This window comes from Homo sapiens, chromosome 3 (assembly GCF_000001405.40).
Source record: "Homo sapiens chromosome 3, GRCh38.p14 Primary Assembly".
NCBI lineage: Eukaryota > Metazoa > Chordata > Mammalia > Primates > Hominidae > Homo > Homo sapiens.
In genome coordinates, this window is record NC_000003.12 from 34,285,181 (window position 1) to 34,301,824 (window position 16,644).

General features: G+C 42.3%; 1 long non-coding RNA gene across 16 annotated transcripts in view; it reads left to right on the forward strand.

Moving 5' to 3' along the window:
- LINC01811 (long intergenic non-protein coding RNA 1811) overlaps positions 1-16,644 on the forward strand; it is a 276,733-nt gene that overhangs the window by 125,817 nt on the left and 134,272 nt on the right. For 10 of the 16 annotated variants that reach the window (NR_183677.1, NR_183681.1, NR_183678.1 and 7 more), the window contains one exon: positions 13,673-13,739. The exons of the other annotated variants lie outside the window; for them this stretch is intronic. This is a non-coding gene — a long non-coding RNA (long intergenic non-protein coding RNA 1811). The remainder of the gene's footprint in view (positions 1-13,672; positions 13,740-16,644) is intronic. 16 annotated transcript variants of the gene reach the window in all.

The following is a 16,644-nucleotide window of genomic DNA, read 5'->3' on the forward strand; positions in this document are numbered from 1 at the left end:
TTGTACCACTTCCAAGTTTGGCTCATAGAACCCCAAGCACGTTCCTTCATGCTCTTTACCTTTCCCACTGCTAGAGTGAAGATGACTTCCAAGGCGATCTTGGAAGCTGTGTGTCAAAGATCTATGATCAACTGGGTCCCCAAATGACCATGGAAAGAAAAATTGGTTCTCTACCAAGCACTGTTATGTGAATAAGGAATAACCTTCTATTGTGCTTCTAATGTTTGTTTTTCGGCTTATAGCAGCTGGTGTTACCCTAAATGATACAGGCGGTCATCCCTAGAGATTTTATTGTTATCAGCTTACTTAGTATTCGTGCCCTGAGTCTTGCAGTTTCCACTGCAGAGAACTCTGCAGGGTTCTGAGGTCTGAAGACTTTGTGAGGCTTTAAATGAAAAGTAAAACACACAGGTTACATTCATCAGTCCTGATCTCAGCCTGTCTCTGCTTTGAGTGTCTTGTCCCCTGAGGGCTTCTCAAGCAAGAGGGAAATGTTCTGACTGTGGCCTAGCAGTGTCTTTTCTCTTGATTGACTGATCAATGTAGTTTGTTCCTGCTGCTAGGTTTCTGATGAGATTTATGACCACCAGGGCTGCCATATTTCAGTCCTTATTTTCACCCTTCTTTGCTTAAAGAGAGCCATTATAGTGGCATCATCATCTTTGACTGTTTTCAAAATTTTACTCACATGAGGCCTGTGAGGAGCTCCCAGCTCTCAGATGTCAGAGCTGCTGGGTGAAAGCTACGTTTGGGGAGATAGCACAACAATTCCTTCTCTTACTCATGTTTATCAGCAGTAGGTACTGGCAGGGACATGGTGCCAGTGAAATACTTTTTTAACACTAACTTAGTGTTGAAACGTGTGCACATTGTCAGTGTTTCTAAAGGTCATTCTAAATCTGAGGGTTGGGGACAATTTTCCTGGACTGATTTTGGGAAACTAGACTCCTTCCACTCCTGCTGCTGCTGCTGCTGCTGCTGCTACCACTAGCCATGTGCAAGCAGTAAGTGAGGAAATTTATCTTGCTGGGTAAATCCAAGCCTCACTTTATTAAAATATCTCAGAGGAAGACCTGACAAGGAGTGGGCAAACTGCCCATAACCCTGTTACTACAGATGTCAGGGTCTGAGAACTAGGTTAAATGTTTGCCTTCTCTGAGACTCTACATTTCTGTTTTTTTCTTATTCCTCCAGATGAGAGAAGCTTGAAACAAGGACACCTGTGTACTATGCAGTAGCCCACAAATGGTTTCTTTAAGATATGCCCCCTTCCTATTTCTGGAGACTGGCAATATGTTGGAAGTGGGTAGGAATAAGACAACTCAGCGGTTGAGGATTTTGAAAATGAGTATGTTAGATGTTATGGATTATCACTTTTACACCCATAATTCTCAGCATCTTAAACTTAGCATGTCACCATTCAGACTGAACTGAATTGAATTCTATTTATTTCTGTAGACAGAGGCATCTCCTTTTACTATTGATGGGTTTCCTTAGGTGTTTATAACAGAACATCTCATGACTCTTCAAATATTTATCATTAACATACTGTTGAATTAAGACAGTGTGATGATTGCTCAAAGACCTGAGGACAGAAATATCATTCGACCCAGCAATCTAATTACTGAGTTTATACCCAAAGAAATATAAATCATTCTATAAAGACATATGCACACATATGTTCATTGCAACACTAGTCACAATAGCAAAAACATGGAATGAACCTAAATGCCTATGAATGATAGACTGAATAAAGGAAATGTGGTACAGATGCACCATGGAATACTATGCAGCCATAAAAAAGAGTGAGATCAAGTCCTTTGCAGGGACATGGGTGGAGCTGGAGGCCATTATCCTTAGCAAACTAACATAGGAGCAGAAAACCAAATACTGCATGTTCTCACTTCTAAGTGGGAGCTAAATCATGACAACAGTGGACCACATAGAAGGGAACAACAGACACTGGGGCTTACCTGAGGGTGGATGATGGGAGGAGGAATAGGATCAGGAAAAATAACTAGGCTTGATACCAGGGTAATGAAATAATCTGTACAACAAACCCCCATGACACAAGTTTACCTCTGTAATAAACCTGCACACATACCCCCTGAACTTAAAGACAAAATCGAAATATATTGTTTATTATTATTTGGAAAGCCATCTGAGCATTTGTCTCCTTTTAACCATAATGCTCCCTGACATCAATAACAGTTACATAATTTAGAGGAGGTCATAGCTATGTTATCTTTTAAAAAAATCGTGTCTAAATAATTCCAACTTTCTAGCCCCTCTTTGAACTTTTCAAATTGCTTATCCCCATTCACAAACTCTCCCAGGAGAAATTGTGTGGGTCCCCTACTAATGGCCCGTTCATGTAAATCATCTCGAATGGTCTCACCTTCATTAGTGACTGCTATAGTTATATTAGAACAAATCTCCAAAGCTGTTAAAATTCAGATGGTACCAGGGACCCAAACAGCTGTTATACATGCTATTAAAAAGTTTCAGTTGCCCCTGAACACATTGTTTCAGTGTCTGTTTTTTTCTAAGTCTCTGGAGAATTTGGAGAGAACAAGAATCTCTTTCTAGAACACATAACTCAGGGAATAATGGAGACAGAGAACTTGATAACAGACCAATATTAAATGTCTTTAATTTCATCTTGATAATTTCTAGCTGGAAAAATTGTGTTGGTTTTCTTCTTGAGATTAGGTTTGTTTCATCATATTTGTCAGAGACTGCCATGAGGAGATACTTTTTCTTTCATTTTTTATGTGGCTGGATGGTACCCTCCTCTTCGCACCCCTGCCACCAGCCTGCCCTTCTTTGGGAGGTAAGGAGAGCTTTTACAAGGTAACTCAGGCCTAAGAAGCAGACAGACATTGCCTTCAGCATAATCAGGTAGGGGAGGCATGCTAGCAAGGAAATAGTCACTCCCCACAGCATGACGTTGTCTGAGTGTGCTTTAGACATTCTGCACTCAAATCCCACATGAATAATAGCCTCTTCCCTCCTCCTCTACCTCACAATATGGAACATCTCCTCTTTTAAGTCAGCAACAACAGTGAAAACAGGTAGGGACTGTCCATCCCTGCCGGAGGCCACAACCAAGAGAAGTGGCACCGAGGTGGGAAGAGAAAGGAGGCTTAACGCACAGAAAGAGAGAAAAAAAAAAAGAGTGAAGGTGAGGGTCTGGGAGGTACTCTCTCTCTCCTGAGGTGATGGCTACCTCGGCCTCCATGGGAAGTTAGGCATGAGATCCTGTGTCAGAGGAGATGCTTTTGCACCAAGGAATAGAAACACTTGACACAAACAGTTAAGGGAGAAGGAGGCATTATTTCCCACAGACGCAGTCTCTGATGTATTTGTGATGGCTCTGGTTTCCTCAGAATTTCAGTTTATGCCTTCCTCAATGCGTGGGCTTTGTCATCAGGCTGGCAGCTTGGTGACATCAGTAGTTCCAGGTTATCTTGCCACCACAGCACCAGAGAGAAGGACTGTCTGTCTTGTGGCTTTCTCTTTACATGGAGAAGACTTTTCTTTGAATCCCAGGAGACTTTCATTATTTCTTGTTGGCTAGAATTAGGTTATATGCCATTCTTTAATCACTGACTAGTAAAGGATGGAATTACCGTGATAGTCTTACACTAATTATTTGGAGCAAATTGAATATTGGAGAATCAGTCATCATGATACTAAAGTTACCATATCTGTGATGGTACAAGATGGTTATTTCTTATCTTACTATCTCTTGTATATTATCAATTAGATGGTTTAATTTTGTCTAGATATTTAAAGTACTTGAAAACTGGTATGTAATATAAGAGTTGAAAATAAATATATTCCTCTTCTATAATTAAACTATATATATGACGTCTAAATTATATCTACATATACTGCATATATTTTATATTACTATTGTGTTACATATTATGCTATATTATGTTTTTATTGTGGTTATACTATGTATAAACTAAACATTATATGTTTTAAAAACTTATTTCAAAGTGCCATATGTTCTAACAGAAATCCTTTGTCACATCAATATAATTTCCTAGTTGCTTGTTGGTTTTTGGAAATTGCCAGTATGCTTTTTTGGTTGATGCAGCATTCACTAGCTAAATGGCACCCTGTCAGAACCATGGCTTGCCAGTTGCATCAAATGCTTCTGACACACTTCCCCTTCCCACCCTTGATTGTCATTAGAAGACTGAGATTCTTGACAGAACCTGAATGGGGTTTGTGTCTTTGCCCCCATCTTAGCATTGAGCTTTCTGATGATCTCTAGGCCTCCATTCTTTCTATCTTCTCTTCCCCCCACAGTTGGTCAGATTGGTACCATCCATGTTCTGGCCTCATATCAGCTGCTTCTTTGAGGGCAGGGATCAAAAGGAATTGCCATACGTAGAGGGAAGGAGGCAGGGGAAAGGAATAGCCAGGGAGGGGCAAATTGGCTTCTCCTGGTTGTTGCAGGAGCCAGGATCTGGCATTTTGGTTTGCCTTTCTGATGGAGAGGGCTGTGAATGACTGTGTGCCCTGCCTTGGCCAGTCACAGGAGAGTGGGCACCATTGACAAAGAGGCAGCTGGTTGGGGTGCTCTCTATGAAGTGAAAAAAAGGCAGAGTGGGAGAGACAATAAGAAATGTGGACATAAAAGAAAGAGGCCCTCATGGATATTGATGGCCTATTTGGGTTGGCTCAACTGGCTGTGGGAAGGGTGGGGTGTGGTGGGAAGCACTGGGTGGCATAAGGCTTCTCTGCCCAGAGATTACTCAAGAGGCAGTGAGGCTCCCTTGGTCACTGGCTGGGATGTCCAGGGCAGAATTCTCCTCCAAGACTGTTCACAATGTCAGGGATGGCCGCTCCCCATGGGGGATGGATTGTCAAATAAAGTAGGGCTCCCCAGGCTCACCTGGGAGTCCTGTACTGACATCTATCTCAGCCCATAGACCTGACCATCTCTTCAGCCACCACCTAGGCCTGGCAGGGTTAGATGTTTCTAATGGGTGGGTATAGACCCTCCTCACCTTGTCCCATTAGCCTCCCTCTCCCATCTAAAACCTTTTGAACCAGGAGGCAAATTGCCAGCTCATTTAAAAAAAAAAAAACAATGAACTGCAGCAGATCCAGTACCCAAAATAGAAGAGTCTCTTGACATTGCAGTGTGTGGTTTCTGAGATAAACCACATGTGCTAGAATTTACATTATTAATTAATTCTACCATTTATGGCAGTTTTACTATTTACTGGCCAATATGGAGATATTTACATATTTGAATAGCTTATAATAGTGTGTACCTGCTGAATATTAGTTGTGGTTACATGTCTCTCTCATTTCTAAACAGTGGCTTCTGGAGGTGGGTGCTGAATTTTATTGCTTAACCCTGAATAACCAATTAATTTTTGCTGGGTAACTGTGTGGGTTTCTATGGTTGAGGGAGGCGATAGGCCACCTTCTCACCTTTTATCAGAATAGACTCCCCACTCTTTTCAATGTGAAAGGTGGAATGCTTAGCTCGACCACTGACAAGCACAACTGATAGCTTCTGAATATCCTACTTCCTTCCCCTTACAGCGAGGGGAACACATCATTCATTATTCTCGTGTTATACCTTTTTATTTTTACAAATAAACAAAAATGAAACTAACATCATTCCCTGCTAAGGAACTCAAAAGTAGACATTATATAGGAATGTGAACCGTGAAAGTATATCCTGGAATTTATGGTCAATGCGCTTTGAAGGTGAAAAACACCCTCTAGTCATACAACATTACTATAGCTCCTGTCTGTCCTTTTATCCATTTCCCCCATAGTTTGCTCGCTGACTTGAGTAACCTGCAAAAGAGATCTGAAGAGAGAAGGAGAAATGAAGAAGCACACTGGAAAAATTCTTCATTTATTATTAACTTAAAACTCCAATTGACTTGCTTCCCCCAGGGCTGGAGACTACAATGGGACATGGAATTGGTCCAGTTAGGCTCAAAAATTCAGAGAAAGAGATTGGTGTAGTGGAAAGATCAGTGAACTGGGAGAGAAAATTGCTGAATGCTAACCATAAATGTGATTTTCTGAGTCCCTTAACTTTCCAATGACTTCTTTCATACTTTGGACACCTTGTTCTCTCTCTTTGCTAGCTTTTACTTCTTGCCATTCTATGGTTTTCTTGTCTTTTTGTATGGCTTAGGTATATAACAGATTAAAAAATGCATCAGGACTGTGTGGTGGTTAATTTCTGTTGTGTAAGATAGCATCCCTTAGCTTTGTGGCTTAAAACAAAAGCCATTCTCTTTAGTTTACAATTCTGTGGATCATTCAGTTCTTCTGTCTTGGGCTGGCTCAGCTTGATCATGGCTGGCTCTCTTATGCTGCTACCATCAGCTGGCAGATCTGCCGGCTGATCTAGAATGGCCTCCCTTGCATGTCTAGTGGTTGGTAGGCTGGCAGCCAGGGTCTGGATGCCTGTTGGCTGGGGTGCCTCGGTTCTCCTTTAACAGGCTAGCTTGGACTGAATCACATGGTGGACTCAGGGTCCCAAGCTCAGCAGGTTGGCAAGTCAGAATGCTCAAGCACTTTTCAAGCCTCTGATCACATCAAGTTTGCTAATGTCCTGTTGGCCAAAGCAAATCACACTGTACATGGAGATTCAAAGGGTGAAGAAATAGATTCCATTTCTTTATGGGAGGAAAGGAATTTATGGCCATTTTTGCAATTTATCACGGACTGCATTTTGAGACATCTGAAAAATGTATTGCAATGGCAGATAACATTTTTGAGTGTTTAGCATGTGCCACACATTATGGTCATCAAAAAATTTACATTCTCATGATACTTGCCCTTATAGGCCCTACATCTTTGGTGCTTCCATTAAAAAAGGAAAGTGGCTATGTCAAACTCTACTCTGCTTTTACACAGCAGATGTGGTGCAAAAATGTTTCTTGTAAATAGAAATTTTGTAGCTTGAATTATATTTTCAGCACAATAGGGGGATTGGCTATTTCAAGGAACCCTGTTGCAAATCCTTTTGGAAAGTAAAGAATCCTTTTGTAACACCTGAAATCACCTCCTGCTTTAGCTGTCTGGAAGGTCAAAGCAAAGGGATTTGAAAATATGGATAATGTAGAAAGGTCTCTGGCTTTGGAGTTGAACTGACCTAGGTTCAAATCTTACCGGGTAAGTAATCTTGGGCAAGTTATTTAACTTCCGTAAGCCTTAGTTTCTTTTTTGTTGTTGTTGTAATAGGATTAATAGATATCTGTCCCCATTGGCTTACATGAAAAGGGAAAAATTATGTAAAGGGCTAGATATTTTACAGAGGTTCAATAGATTAGTACAATATATTCTTCCACATTATCAGATGTTAGATTTTGTGTAACTACTGTCCTGCTATTTCCTACTACAGATAAAAACCTTTTGAAATATTTGTTTTCCAGTTTCGGCATTAGCTTGGCTTGGGTTCTCTGTGTCTGTTCTTTTAATCTCACCATAAAGCTATATAGCTATTTGCATTCCTTAATCAAATTCAAGAGGGTAGATGAGGAAATGAATTCATAGCTCTGTAGACATCATGGGGTAAAAAGTCTGTACTAAACCAATTTAAAATAAATTAGCTGAGAAAAAGCAGGTGCTGCCTGACACAATATGCAAAGTTATCTTTTAACCCAATCAGCAGAGAACAGAAAAACAATTAGCAAATTGGATAGCTATTCCAGGTGTCTGAGGGCCACTGGCCACAAGATGGCCACTGAAGGGATCACCACCAGCTTCAGGTCACTAGGTAGACTTGCAGTATCAGCACAAAACCCTGACTTGGGGTGGCCAATCTCCCAAGCAGCTCTAATTAGGCCCAAGAGGCAATTGCATAAGAACTACTGAGAACATCGCAGACTCATATTTGCTTCTTTCTCAGGATTTTATATGAGAGCCTGGTAATGAATGTTCTTTAACAATAGGAGCTGAGAGACCTTAGTGTTAATAGCACTCCTGAGGATACAACTTCCTTTATTTGCAATCCTGCAAAGATCAGTTGGATACCATTGTTAAATCTTGAAATTGCACCCCCACTTTCCCCAGTCTACATTGTGGCTTAACTCAGAAGACAGGACCACGGGGAAGGGCTTTTTCTTAACCACCAATCCCCTCCCTATGCAGTAATGAACAATAAATAATCTAGCACTGATTGGTTTTGAAATTTTTTTAAGGGTCCAGCCCATTTTTAAAGCGTTTTAGGAACAAAGCGTTTGTTTGTTTGTTTGTATTAATAAAGAGTAATAGAACCTCTCTAACATCCACAGGTTAAAATACTATAATGTTTCTGAATTCAGGGGCTGCTTTGGTCAGATGTATTGGTTCCCTTGGTCTGCTTTTCCTGAGTCCCTACTCAGGAAATTACTAATTCCTAAGGAGTTAATTTACTGAGTGAAAAGGTACTCAGTAGATTAGTTCTCTAGTTGAATTGTAGTGGATAACTCAGAAATTTCTTTCCCCCTTCCTGTCCTTCCTCCCTTCTTTTCCTTCACTAAATACACAGAGATCCTAACGTGGAACAGCCACCGTTCTAGGTGATGGACATGAAGCAGGGAGTCCAGTAGGTTTGGGAGCAAGATCACTCTGAAGAGTTCTAGCCATAACCAGCAACACCTGAAGAGTCTCAGGGAAGACTCACTCATTAGTGGGTATGTCAGGAGATGGTCTGGCTTCAGTGATCTTATGTTGATAGAGCCACTTAGTTGCTTATTAAGAGACTGATTCTTGGGCCATATTTAGGAATTTAGTCACTGTATTCAGTGAAGCAGCTGAATTTCTACCTTTTAAATAAGGACTCCTGTGATGCAGCAGATCCACAAATGGCTTTTGAAAACTTAGCAGTTATTGGCTGAAAATCTCAGGTAGGCCCATGGAGCCTGTGTGCCCCATATTGGATCCTAAGGTCATCTGCCCTCCATTCCTCTGGCAAAATCATCTCACACCTCCAGCTGGTATTAACATCTGCTACCTAAATCCCCAAAGCTGCTCTGGCCCCAGCTTTGTCCAAGGTTAGTCCCTTAACCACTTCTTGTATTCTGTGAACCATCACAAAGTCTTCAAACATATTATTATTTGGCCTATGTCAGCCAGGGTCATTCTGTTGGTATAAGCAAAGAAACAGTGAGAGCATGCAATCTTGGTATGTGGATGGTGGATGGTGTTCTGGCTTTGTGGGGATATCATATCTGGGAAGGGAGTGAGTCTTCTGCATAGTCCATTAAAGGAAAGTCTACCCTGCCCTCTACCTCCACCCCCAGAGGGGGTGTATTCTGTCTCCTCAGGCAATGCTGCTGTGAATATTTGCATGAATTTCCCTTTTTCCTTCTAGGCTCTGGGGACAAGAACTGTGTCTTATTCTTGTCTATGGCTCAGGGACCAGCAAGGGGCTTGGAACATAGCAGGTTACCTGTGTGATTGTGAAAGAGGAAGATTATACTCTGAACCTGAGCAGTGCTGCAGGTGCTGGGCCTTGCTTGGGGCCTGACCCTAATTATGAGCTCTCATTGGGTTCTTGGGGTCTTTTTCTGTCTACCTTTGCCCAGTCCTCTGCTTCCTAGGAAAATATAACTAGGTTTCAGGTGCCTCCAACTGGGTCACTATCCTTAGTATTTGAAATCCAGAGGTCTTTCATTTTCTTAGGAGTTTGTATATTTCTCAGGTCAATTTCTCATATTTGGGGCCACATTTTATTTTTTGCTTCCCTGAGTCTATTCTGTGCTAAGGGCATGATAGACAAAAGAAAAATATCCATGTCTAAACTTCCCAGGACTTCTAGAAATAAGTTTCCAATTAACATTCTTTCCTTGGCAGCCCAATTTTGTGATTAAAGAGCTTCATTGGCTTTGGGAACATTTAGAATTAAAATCCAATACTAACGGAGACCCAGGGGCATGACCTTATGAATAGAGGCCAGAAAGGAAAGCAGGAAAAGCAGACGGAGCCAATGAAAGGGGCAGGGGGAGGTTGCCATTTCTGGAGAGGCAAGGGAGGACAAAATAGCCTACTGAGATAATTTGCTCTCCCTCAAAAGGATTCTGTGGCAAGTTCCCTAGCTGTAATAAGGTCTGAGAATCAGGAAATTCCAGGGAGCTCATCTTTGTTCCTGCTCTGTGAAATGCCACTGAATAAATCAAGGAATTTATTTGTCACTCGTTTCCTCTATAAACTCACTTCATGGCCTAGATGTGCTCTGAAATATAGCATCTAAAGCAGTCATGGAGAATATCAGAGGTCAGCTTGGAGCCATGTAGAATATCAGAGGTCAGCTTGGAGCCATGGAGAATATCAGAGGTCAGCTTGGAGCCATGTAGGATATCAGAGGTCAGCTTGGAGCCATGTAGGATATCAGAGGTCAGCTTGGAGCCATGTAGGATATCAGAGGTCAGCTTGGAGCCATGTGGGATATCAGAGGTCAGCTTGGAGCCATGTGGAGTATCAGAGGTCAGCTTGGAGCCATGTGGAGTATCAGAGGTCAGCTTGGAGCCATGTGAAATATCAGAGGTCAGCTTGGAGCCATGTGGAATATCAGAGGTCAGCTTGGAGCCATGTGGAGTATCAGAGGTCAGCTTGGAGCCATGTGGAATATCAGAGGTCAATTTGGAGAGGTTGAATGTAACTGAGCTAGATGTCTGGAGGTAGGACTGTGCCCCCTGTTCATCTGCCCTAGTTTATTCCTTGACATACTGCAGGTCACCTCTCTGTTCCAACCTACTGCTGTTTTTTATTGCATTGTGCTTTCTCACCTCCATTTCCTCTCTGCCTTGAACATCCTTCCCCCTTGACTTAGGTTGTGTTCCCTAGAAGCAGTGATGAAGACAGAGATTTATATGATTTATCAAGGGAGCAGTCTCAGGAGAAGGGGAGGGAAGGAGCCAGGATAGGGTAAGGGGCAGGAATTACAGGAGAATGAGATATTAATTGATCCCTCAGGGAGTTCTGGAGTGTGAATTGCACTATAGAGATTGTCTCACTTTGAAGCAGGGGCTCCAGTACCCCCATGTGGGTCAGCTGTTGGAAGTAGGATGTTTCTGTAGGTGGGGGGTGTAACCTCCAAGGTGAGTTGCCACCAGTTTGCCAGGAGCAATTGTCTGGAGAAGGGAGGCAGATGGGAACCATAGCAGCCAACACCTGAAGCTCCTGACAGTGGGACTACTGCCCTGGTAAAGGACATCTGCAGGGAGTAGCAGCAGCATACCAGCCACCTGAAGAAATTTGCTTCGTTAACTTCTATTCACTGATTCTTCAAGACTTGGCCCTGGCCACACGTTCTCTGACTACTTCTTTCCTTTTTAGCCTGCTAAGTGTACTTCCTCCATGTCCTGTAAGCCTCCTGGACTTTCTAACCTCTATCTTACCTCCCTGTATGTTAATGGGCCTGCATGAGTATCATCTTTATTAATCATCTCCTTGGTGGTATGAGATTACTTTTCCAATTTCATCTACAATGCCTACCACAGTCTGTATAATGTAATAGTGTCCCATAAGATAGTGTGGGGTGGATGAATCTTGGATCCTCTATTAGTTTGCTGTGTGATCAAGATGATTTACCTAACTTTTATCTAAGTAGGGAATAGTATCTGCCCACTGGTCTCTTAATGTTGTTGAGAAGGTCAAACCACAGAACACTATCTTACCTGTGAGGTCTGGTATGAAAACCAGATCTTACTTTATCTTATTCATCATAGTGCAAGAGTCTCTTTGACAAAACCCATAAGAAAGTTGTACGCAGCCTAAGACGTAAGTGTCCCTCCTGGCCCATTCCTCCTCTTGGCACCCTGGACAGTTCCAACAGATTTTTCTGTCTCACATTGGGTTGAAATCTACCAGTAACTTCTCTTGAGTCTTATTTTGCCTCCTGGAGCCATTTAGAACTAGTCTGCTCCACATTTCACATGGCAGTCCGTATGGATTGATTATTTCAGGAGTGTTGCTGTCTTGTCTGCTGTTCTCACCTCTTGCTGACAGTGGCTGCCAAGCCTTCGAAGTCTGACTCTTGCTTGTCTCCTTCCTCTTGTCATCACCTTCCTCTGTTACACAGTTAAGATGGAAAGAGTTGGAGGCTTAATTTTTTTAAGTTCCTAGGGGAATGGTCCTCAGGAAGGTCTTCTGAGGACACACATAGAATCTTGTCTCTGTTTTTCTAATTCTTGCAACTTGAAGGAAGATGCTGAGAGGCACCTTACATGACCCTATTTTTCCTCAACAACATCTTGATAATAAATGATGTATCCAAAATTAATTTTCTACTTTTGTGAATAAAGAGTGATTCTATTAGGGTGATGAGGAACCTCCACAGCAGTAAGGGATAAAATATCTGGGAACCACTCCTAGTCATCATTCATTAGCTGGGTGACTTTAGGCAGCTCTCTCTCTTTGTTGTGAAGGAGGCTATAGCAGCTCTTAGAGAATGAGAGGAGTGAAGACAGAAAAAAACCGACAGAATAAACAAATACCAAAGGACCCAAATTAACAAGATTTGGTGATGTTTTGGATTGGAGAGTGGTGAGGAAGAGGGAGAAGTCAAGGACGACTCCTGAAGCTTGTAGGAACTCTGGCATGTCGGGTAGGGAGAAGGAGCCTGCAGAATAAATGAATAAGCAGGCAGGTGGGTAGGAGGAAGCCCAGGAGATTGTGGAGCCCCAAGAACCCAGGAAGGAGCATAGATGGAAGGAGTGACCTTCACACTGCGGAGGTTTCAAGTAAGGTAGAATTGAAAATGTCCTGAGACTTTGGCAATAGACAGGTCACCTAATGATTGCAGTGGCTTTTTAAAGCCTGTGACAGGAGTGGAAGACAGAGCGAGGTGAATTGAGGAGTGGGAGGGGAGCATATGGAGATGGCAAGGATGGATAATTTTCTGGAAAACTTTGGGTGTGAGGAGGAGGAGAGAGTGCTGTAGCTGCAGGAAGTGTGGGGTAGAGGGAAGATATTTTTAAGGTGGGGAAAGCTTGAGCCTGTTTAAGTGTTTTGGGGAAGATTGCGAGGAAAGGGTTGACTAGATAAGAGAGAGATGGGGTAATTGATGCCCTGAAAAGACACCAGGGAAGGGATCCAGAATGCAGGAGGAGGAACCAGTCTTGACACAGAAAGGATGCTGCCTCAAATGTCACATCAGGGATCTGTGTTACTGTGGAGACCACACTCTTACTAAGCCAGACAATATTTCTCCTTCCCTCACCCCTGCCCACAAAATTAGCTAGATACTTTTTCTCTAGACATTCCTGCTGGGAGGCTGAGACTCCATGTCCCTTTAAGACGGGGGAAGGATACTGTACCAGAGCCTCTTCCTAAGAGATCTGTACTTATTAAGTGATTGGGACTAGACTTACTTCCTCTTCTCACACAGTGTCTGATTATGCTTGGCAGTTGTGCCCAGGCCCCCTGCATACCTTTCAAGGTCCCTTTCAAGGTCCATTCTTATCTGACTTCCCAAGTTTACATCTTGCTGCCCTACAGTTAACTTTCTCTGCTTCCCCTTGGATCAATTAGACAAGTTGTAATTATAGGGTATATAATGGTCTCATTTCTCCTGGTCTGTTCCAAGCTCCTCTGTGTCTAGGTACAGAATGAGTAAGCATTCTCTAATGTTGTTGGCCAAGTTCATTTTTCTTATAAATAAAGTCACTGTCTTTATTTTCCTATTTTACAGAGAGGTCAAAAGTCCGTCTGACTCACCTGTGCTGAGTGACTTGAATGCCATCTAATCTAACTTCAAGGTGACTGGATAGATTGTACATGTGGTAATAAAATGCTAATCGTAGTGTCATAATTTTAGAGATTCAAGAAGAAATTATTAGAAACACAAATTAAGAGCTTTAATATGCTCATATGTACCTGTGCATAACTTTTTTTAAAGCACCTAGAAACTGCAAGTCAATAAACATTGTTTTCCCATGCTGCCCTATACTCATCCAACCCAGCGATGATGAAATGCATACTGACAAGAGCAATAAGAAAAATAATAACATTATCACAGGATCAATGTCTATTGCTAGCTTCATAAAGGACTTGGCTTCCCATTGATGTTTAATTTTTGTAAATGCCTCTGGAAATTTAAGTAGCAGTAGGAAAACATAATGTTCAATTTCTCCTAACATAACCTCTTAAACTTTGGACGTGTGCAGTTTTCAGTCTGGGACAAATTTAGGAGAACAAATCTCTTTGAAACAGACTGGCAGATTTATTTTAAATAAGCTTGCTTTAAGGCTACAGGTCTAGGAGACAGAATCATAGAAGATGATTGGAACAACGGGAGCTGAAAAATCTTGGAAGCCTGCTTTTTCTGTGACTCGTTTTGGTGTATACATCAGCATAAAGGGGAGAGTCTCCTCTATCCATGTCATGGCTGATGGTAGCATCTGTGCCAAATTTTAAGCACTAGGGGACAAGTTGGGAGGCTCCGAAAAGCTCACCTGTCTCAGAACACCACGATATCCTAGCATTTTTGTTATTCCTCCTTGCTCTACCTCAACTGCTCTGGCATTGACTCAAATTCCTGGAACTGCATAATCAGCATCTGGACGAATAATAAATGAACTCCTGCTAGCTCTACCATAGGAGAAGCATTAGAGTACTTTGAAGTCCTAGAACCTTCATCTTCTTAGACTTAAGAGTGGTATTTCTGAAACTTGAGCTTGCATCAGACTCACCTAAGGCATCATGTTAAAACACTGATTGCTGAACTCTACCCTGATAGTTTTTGGTTCTGTAGTTCTAAGGCAGAGCTCATTAATTTGAGTTTCTAACCAGTTCCCATATGATGCTGATGCAACTTGTCCTGCAGACCATACATTGAGGACCGCTAGCCTAGAGTTCCCCTTTTTTGACCCAGATGCTGGACTGTTGTAAGCCAACAGTTAGGTCTTTCTGAAATCCATGGGCTCAAGCAGGGGCAGAAAATATCCAGATGCCAAAAGGAAGCTTATTATTTTATAGGGACCTCTGCAGAGTGAGCGCCACACTTTGGCTGAAGAGTACAGTTTGTTCCTCACCATGACCTTGGGGTCCCGTCCCAACTAATCCAGAGCCATGTGGGTTTGCAGAGACAGGCATTCCTCCCATATTCTGGCCTCTGACCTGAAATCTTCTAACTTGAGAAGAGAACAGTCACCTTCCTGGGAATCTGAAATAGAAAGGCAAATTTGTGAAGGCCTTTCTGACATCTGAATGGCTGGATTTGCATTTGCTGTAGTGATAACTCAGTGCCATCCAGACCTGACAGTGATGAACGATGCTGGATTCTGCTCAAATTCCATCAAAGCCTGCAGGGTGAAGACTCTGGTCCCTGAACCCAGTGTCCTCTGGCCCTTCCTGTCAAAGCATTGGAGTGACAGGGAGACATTTGAGAGGCAGTGAGGAGGAAGGACAGAGGCATCAGGGTGGGTGTGGCAGCTTCCATATTTAGCAGAGAGAAGCAGAGATGAGGGTAAGATTATGAGTGGGAGAGGAGGGAAGGTTAGAGAACAATGGAAAAATTTTCTTCTTCAGTGTAAGAATTCTGGACCCTTATTTGAAGTCTCTCCTGCTTTGTTGGGCAAAAGTAATGAGAAACTCCACTTGGCTTCAGAATGCAGTGTCAACTCCACATGAATCAAAGCAATAAAAAAGAATCAACTCAGAGCAGGCTGAGCTATGTGAGGTATGAAAACTTGATCAGGGCCAGCGTGAGTATGGGACTTCAGTCATGCTCCCACTCCCTCACAGGACCCACACGGGTGGGGGGTGGGGGGAATTGTTTAAAAGCATTTAGTTCCTAACTAGCTGCCTCACCCATTATCTTCCGTTTCTTGTAATTTAGGAAACAAAGAACAACATATAGCCAGATCAATAGCTTATGTTATTTTCATATGTTAATTATTGCTAAACAACTTAGGAACTGCCTTTTCTTTTATTTCCTTTAAAAATCCATTTGTAACTGTTGCTGGTGGGACCGGACTACATATTCAGGATAACTTTAATCTGTGCTTTGAAGTTTCAATCCTCAAGACTGGCCCAAATAAACCCCCTACTTATATTAATCTTGCCTCAGTTTCTTTCTTTTAGGTGGACAGTGGTGAGAGCAATTAGGCTTTTTGCAGAATTACTCATTCTAAATATTCTTGCTTGTATTATATTTTAGATACAAATTTTCCAGCTGTTATTTTTCAAGTCATTGCCTGCTTCACTGTGTCAATTTCTAGTCTGCAGCCTTTGTAAGCATTTGTTTCTTTGTTTCAACTGCTTCTTTTTCCTTTCCTGTTACTTCTCTGGCCCCCTGTTCTTTGTTCCTCTCTGAGGAATGCAGATCTCTGCTCCTCCATACACCTCCTTTCTTTCCAGTCTGGCTTTTAAGAGGAGACTGTGCAGGCAGTCATCAAACACAGGGTCTAGTTCCTAGAGCTACTCCTCTCCCAGGCAATCTGCATTTCAGACAAAATAAGCCCCTTTCACTTCTATTTTGCTTAATGTAAATGTTACTGACGTGTAACACACATGCAGAAAAGTGCGCAAATTGTATATTTCCAGCTTGAGGAGATTTCACAGACTGAACAAATGGAGTGGCCAGCACCAGCTCAAGAAACAGAGCATGAACAGCACCCCAAACCTCCTAGTGCCCCCTTTCAGTAATTTCCCACCCTTAGG